Source organism: Homo sapiens, chromosome 4 (genome assembly GCF_000001405.40).
Source record: "Homo sapiens chromosome 4, GRCh38.p14 Primary Assembly".
Taxonomy (NCBI): domain Eukaryota; kingdom Metazoa; phylum Chordata; class Mammalia; order Primates; family Hominidae; genus Homo; species Homo sapiens.
This window is the reverse complement of record NC_000004.12, coordinates 89,195,304-89,202,746: the sequence shown is the minus strand read 5'-3', so window position 1 is coordinate 89,202,746 and position 7,443 is coordinate 89,195,304. Positions and strand designations below refer to the sequence as shown.

Genomic DNA, 7,443 nt, shown 5'->3' with positions numbered 1-7,443 from the left:
ACCTCCTCTTCAGATTCGTTGTTTTATTCCATCAAGTAAAGTTGTACTAGTACCATCAAGCCAGGAGAAGATGACAATACCCGCCCATCATGCTAAGAGGAAACTAAACAATTATTTCCCCAACTGAAATAAATTCAATTAAGTGGTGACTGTGAGTTCTATACCACCAATGTCAATAAATATATATTCATCTATCAGAATACTGCAAAAGCTCTGTTCTTTGGCATGAGGATACTGGCTTATCAAAATTTTTCAGTACACTAAATTAGCTGATGTTAACTCTCCTAAATTAATTTCATTTTATTTTTTTATTTATCTTGCAGGGCTTACAAGTAAATGAAAGAATGGATATTTATCCAGAAAGCTAGAAATATATTTATTTTCTCAGAAATTTCAATTTCCTAAGAAGTAAAGCTCTGAGTATTTTTTAACTTAACCCACTTCTCCACCCTCTCAGTTCTCCTCCTGCCAAGAGAAAAATAAATAAGTCATCTGGCCACCTACTATAACTGGATTATCTGGTAACTGTATTGCAACTAGTCCAACTAACTTAGATAACTAAACTAGACTTCAGATCTGAATGGGCCAACAGAAAATGACAACCACAAGAGGTGTCTTGGAAAGTGCTGGCTAACTCAGTCTCAATTATGCACAGATAACTGGCAGTTTTCCTGCTAGAATTAATCTGATTTAAACTTAAAGCAGCAGATAGAAGTTTAGAAGATATCTAAGAAATTTTTATTTCTCCAAGCTGATACGATAAATCTTTGATATGGTTTGGCTGTGTCCCCGCCCAAATCTCATCTTGAGCTGTAGTTCCCAAAATCCCCACAGGTCATGGGAGGGAACCAGTGGGAGGTAATTGAATCATGGAAATGGTTACCTCCATGCTGTTCTTGTGATAGTGAGTGAGTTCTCACGAGATCCGTTGGTTTTATAAGCGGCTTCCCCATCCCTTCGCTCTGTACTTCTCCTTGCTTCCACCATGTGAAGAAGGATGTGTTTGCTTCCTCTTATGCTGATTGTAAATTTTGTGAGGCCTCCCCAGCCATGCTGAACTGTGAGTCAATTAAACCTCCTTCCTTTATAAATTACCCAGTCTTTGGCATGTCCTTATAGCAGCATGAGAATGGACTAACACAACATTGTTTTAATTTTTTTTTGCAAAACAAGATTCTTGCTGGAATAAAGTAGTTTTCACTGTTTGTTGTTTGGTAAGTTAAAGATTTAGTAAACTCCACCATTTTAAACTTCTGGGTGCTTTGTCCTGATGGCCCATCAGAGCATTTACCTCAGTGAGTTAGACCCCAGATAGTTACATTCAAAGTTATTTAATACATAGAAATGTATGTAGCTCAGCTTTTGGTAATTTAGATTTCTTTTTTCACCTACAATTTTACAGTTTCTGCCTTTCCTTTTACTTCTAATTGATCAAATATTGACTCTAAATAGCCAATCAAGTATTTAAATCACTTTTTCTTGAAACCATTTTGTTAAGAAGTTTTTGATTTGTTACATACTGAAAGGATCTACAGGAAATTTCTTTAAAATGAAACCCTTAAATCTCATGCTACATTAAAAAAAATATTAAAAGAATACCACATCATGTCATGTGGAGTTCATTCCAGTAATATGGTGATAGTTCGAAATTATAAGATACATTTAAAATAACTAACAAGACCTTTAAAAATACCTTAAGATCCAGCAAACAACTGGAATCATGCTATATGGTTAAACGCTGAACACTGATTCTTAACCAGAACCTCCAGCCCGTCTGCCAGAGTCTATAGGATGGGAATAGGGATGGATGGGAAAGAGATACATTCAAAAAACATATATATTCCGTTTACAAATTGTTTTCACAGTTTTAAAAAGCAACAGAAAGCAAAATTGACAATATTTTCTTCAGTGTGAGATACACAGAATATAGAACGGTAAGGTATTTAGGGGCTATGGCTTTTAATAAGTTGAAAAATGCTACTATAGTAAAATCTGATTAATATCAAATTAATCAAAAATTTCAAGTCTACTGTAAAAATGGTTGCTCACTTACAGTAAACCTGGAAATACTAACTAATATAATTATACCCAAAAAGGTAAAGGATATATATGAAAGTATACATACGCAAACATACATATAAGGCAGTAAAGTACCATTATGGCAGGTAATATATTTGTCGACTTGAAAACCCAAAAAAAAGCTACTGAAAAACATTTAGAAATAAAAAGAGGGCTCCTTGAAGAGGTCCTTCACATCCCTTGTAAATTGGATTCCTAGGTATTTTATTGTCTTTGAAGCAATTGTGAATGGGAGTTCACTCATGATTTGTCTCTCTGTTTGTCTGTTATTGGTGTATAAGAATGCTTGTCATTTTTGTACATCAATGCCATCTCCATCAAGTTACCAATGACTTTCTTCACAGAATTGGAAAAAACTACTTTAAAGTTCATATGGAACCAAAAAAGAGCCCGCATTGCCAAGTCAATCCTACGCCAAAAGAACAAAGCTGGAGGCATCACGCTACCTGACTTCAAACTATACTACAAGGCTACAGTAACCAAAACACCATGGTACTGGTACCAAAACAGACATATAGACCAATGGAACAGAACAGAGCCCTCAGAAATAATACCACATATCTACAACTATCTGATCTTTGACAAACCTGACAAAAACAAGAAATGGGGAAAGGATTCCCTATTTAACAAATGGTGCTGGGAAAACTGGCTAGCCATATGTAGAAAGCTGAAACTGGATCCCTTCCTTACACCTTATACAAAAATTAATTCAAGATGGATTAAAGACTTAAACGTTAGACCTAAAACCATAAAAAACCCTAGAAGAAAACCTAGGCAATACCACTCAGGACATAGGCATGGGCAAGGACTTCATATCTAAAACACCAAAAGCAATGGCAACAAAAGCCAAAATTGACAAATGGGATCTAATTAAACTAAAGAGCTGCTGCACAGCAAAAGAAACCACCATCAGAGTGAACAGCAACCTACAGAATGGGAGAATATTTTTGCAATCTACTCATCTGACAAAGGGCTAATATCCAGAATCTACAATGAACTCAAACAAATTTACAAGAAAAAAACAAACAACCCGATCAACAAGTGGGCAAAGGATATGAACAGACACTTCTCAAAAGAAGACATTTATGCAGCCAAAAGACACATGAAAATATGCTCATCATCACTGGCCATCAGAGAAATGCAAATCAAAACCACAATGAGATACCATCTCACACCAGTTAGAATGGCAATCATTAAAAAGTCAGGAAACAACAGGTGCTGGAGAGGATGTGGAGAAATAGGAACACTTTTACACTGTTGGTGGGACTGTAAACTAGTTCAACCATTGTGGAAGTCGGTGTGGCGATTCCTCAGGGATCTAGAACTAGAAATACCATTTGACCCAGCCATCCCATTACTGGGTATATACCCAAAGGATTATAAATCATGCTGCTATAAAGACACAAGCACACGTATGTTTATTGCAGCACTATTCACAATAGCAAAGACTTGGAACCAACCCAAATGTCCAACAATGATAGACTGGATTAAGAAAATGTGGCACATATATACAATGGAATACTATGCAGCCACAAAAAAGGATGAGTTCATGTTCTTTGTAGGGACATGGATGAAGCTGGAAACCATCATTCTCAGCAAACTATGGCAAGGACAAAAAACCAAACACTGCATGTTCTCACTCATAGGTGGGAATTGAACAATGAGAACACATGGACACAGGAAGGGGAACATCACACACCGGGGCCTGTTGTGGGGTGGGGGGAGAGGGGAGGGATAGCATTAGGAGATATACCTAATGTTAAATGACGAGTTAATGGGTGCAGCACACCAACATGGCACATGTATACTTATGTAACAAACCTGCATGTTGTGCACATGTACCCTAAAACTTAAACTATAATAAAAAAGAGGGCTCAATAACACAGTTAGTTATTATTTAAAATAGTTTAATTAGTATTTATTTTAAAATACACTAAAAAAATCAAAAACTTGCCTTTGTAAAACAAAAATCAGAAAATACAAAAAAGGAAAAGATATTATTCATAATAACCGGATAAAACAAAATCTATGAACAGATTTAGTATGAAATGTGGAAAACCTATGATTAAAACTCTATTAAAAGACGAATGAATGAAAAAACTCATGTTATTGGATGACAAAATTTGATAATTTAAAGATTTCAGTTCCATCCAAATCAATCAACTTAATGATATCAATGCAGTTCCTATAAAAATTTCACTGGAACTTGGGTAGACAGGAGATCTTGTTTCTAAAATTACTCTTAAATTTCCCTGGAATAGCACGTTTACAGAAAGAGCAGTCAGTAAGTATCGTAGTTTGGGATACCACAACAAAGTCCTATAAACTGGGTGGCTTATAAACAGCAGAGATTTATTTCTTACAGTTCTGGAGGCTGGAAATTTGAAATTAGGGTGCCAGCATGATCGGATTCTGGTGAGAGCTCTCTTCCATGTTGCAGACTCCTGACTCCTCATTGTACCCTAATGTGACAGCAAGAGGATTAGAGAGCTTCCTGGGGTCTCTTTTATAAGCACACTAATCCCATTCATGAAGGCCGTACCCTCAAGACCTAATCACCTCCCAAAGTCTCCACCTCCTAAGACCATCACAGTGGGGATTAAGATTTCAATGTACTAATTTGGCAAGGAAAACAAATATACAGTGTATTAGTCCATTCTCACATTGCTATAAAGAACTATCTGAGACTGGGTAATTTATCAAGAAAAGATGTTTAATTGGCTCAGGGTTCCACAAGCTGTAGAGGAAGCATGGCTGGGGAGGGCTTAGGAAGCTTACAGTCATGGAGGAAGGTGAAGGGGAAGCAGGTACATCTTACACAGCTGGAGCAGGAGCAAAAGAGAGAAAGGGGCAGGGCTACACACTTTTAAACAACCAGATCTCCTGAGCACTCACTCGCTATCATGAGAACAGCAAGGGGGATTCTGCCCCCATGATCCAATCACCTCCCACCAGGCCCCTCCTCTAACACTGGGGATTACAACTGGGCATGAGATTTGGGAAGGGACACAAATCCAAACCATATCATTGAGTCAAAACAGGCCATTTCTTTCCAGAAAAGAATAATGAATTAGGGACCTTTGGTACTGGCTATTACAGGGTATAAAAATAAAATCATGAAACAACGCATGAAACAATGCAGTTTAAGTTTAGTCAGATAATATTGACAGAGATCCAACTCTATGAGAGGATTTAATATATGACAAAAGCTGTAACTTAAATCAGTGTTAAAAGATTTATTAATCAATGAACTTCTTTTTTGACTACTGCATAGTCATTTGAGAGAAAAAATTCAGTTGACGATTTATCTTTTGCCAAAATGAATTCCATACAGTCAAGAATTAAAGTTAAAAAAGGAAAAAAAATTTATAAATGAAAAAGACAAATATTTTTGTGATTTGAATAGTTAAAATGCTTGTTAAATGTGTCAAAAGGCTGATAGACAAAAGGCTCAAAAACATTTTAAATAACAAAATTTTAAAACCCTCAAAACACATAACACATAACAACGTAAAGCATAAAGGACAATCTAGGAAAACTATTTGCAACAAGTATGTGGCAAAAGTTTAACATTCCAAGGACTCTTGCATATATCTGAGGAAAACAGAACAATGGGCAAAGGGCATGAATAAGCAACTTGGAAAAGGTGAAATGTGAGTGTAAATAGCAAACAAACAAACGTACAGCACAATGGTCAAATCGGGCTTAGGGCCAGACTGTCTGAGTCTAAACTCATGCTTTGCCAATGTTTAACCATATGACTCTGACCTCTCTTTGCCTCTATTTTCTCACCTGTTTGTTTAGTTCAGATTTTCCCATGCTCTATCCAAAAGGCAAACTTCTACAGAAAAAGTAGGGATTTTAGTTTAACATGAGGCTTTTCAAATGTTCATTTTAGAAAACTTAGTAAAATATAATTTCTTGGTACTTTAATCAGGTCCAACAGAGAAATATATAAGTGTTCAAAGATAGTAATTTGAGCAATTACAGGAATAGGGAGTTTACATACTTCTTTTTGAGAAGTCTGATATTTGAAATATCAGTGATTCTATGTCAGCAGTGCCAGAGCCACATGGTTTCATTTCTGAGTTTCTGTGTTTCTTAGATGCTCATCAGAGTACGGTTCCATGGTGAGGGTGAGAGATGAATGCTGAGAACACAATCCTCAGGAAGGAGGAGCTTGTGAGAAGCTGATGCAAAGGTCTGCAAGTTAAATGAGCTTTCCTGCAGCTGGGTTAGACTTGGGCTTGGTTAGAAACCCTGGGGATTTATTCCATTCCACCTAGATAACTTCTGTTCAGCATAAGGCCTCAAAGCTCAATTATAGGAGAGCAGGGAGAAACTCACAGGTCTATTAACTGTCTCACTCTGGAATCTCTAACTCATTGACGTTAGCATATGCATTGGAATCTTGGTTGATAATGGAGTGATAGCTCCATTTAATTGACAACTCCCATTCCATATCTTAACATACTTGGAACACTCAATTTAAACTGGATGTGATATACATTCTTATTGTGCTGCAACTGGGATGCCATTGTCCATTATACAATACATGAGAGCACATGAACTACTCAGATATTGGTGATTCATGTAGCACAGGAAACTTAACAACCTTTGCAAGCAGCTACAGCCTTAGAAAGATTAAAGTAATAAAATGTTTTCTATGGGAATTAAAGATGCCATTGTAATAGGTGTCATTTATTAAGTGCTTACTATTTGCCAGGTACTATCTTGAATGCTCTATATACATGTACCTGCTATTTGGAAAGTTATATATGCTTATAGCCTTGAAATCAAATTAAATTATATGCCAAACCAAATTCCTGCCAAACTGACTAGGAATTCAATTGCAGTAATTATTGATGGGTACTTCTTTCTTCCCAAGATCACCAAAAAATATGTAAGGTTTATGGGATTTCCAGAAAATGAGGACCAATCTCTATCATCTGGCCCACTTTTATGACAGCTATTTACTATAAACTCACATAAAATTGTTGAAACACTTTAGTCTTTTGAAAACAGGCAGTTCTAGCATGTCCATGCCAAGCCTGGTTGTAAGGATGTTGAGAGGCTGGAAGTCTGGGTGCCAGGCCCCACGTACAGGGAGCACCATGTGAGCGCCTACCAAGGTCATGCCACCTCTCGCCACTGCCACAGATCTGGACTCAAGTTCCTGCTCATCACAGAACCCACATATCTCTGGGCTCTTCCCAGTCTAGGAAAAATCTTTCTCCTCCTTCCTGTTACTTCTGTTTTCCTCTTCTTTCTATAGTATATTTCCCACGATGAGCTCAAGTTTACACACACACACAAGAAAAGCCATAAAAGGCAATTATCTTCACACCTCATCCCACCATCTAC

The 7,443-nt window shown here is 36.9% G+C and overlaps 1 long non-coding RNA gene across 1 annotated transcript; it reads right to left on the bottom strand.

Moving 5' to 3' along the window:
• Positions 1–4,410: 4,410 nt before the first annotated feature.
• Positions 4,411–6,228, bottom strand: LOC124900834 (uncharacterized). The gene is made up of 2 exons (XR_007058425.1): positions 6,089–6,228; positions 4,411–4,541 (listed from the first exon to the last, which is right to left on the bottom strand). It is a non-coding gene; the product is annotated as an uncharacterized LOC124900834 (long non-coding RNA).
• Positions 6,229–7,443: the final 1,215 nt, after the last annotated feature.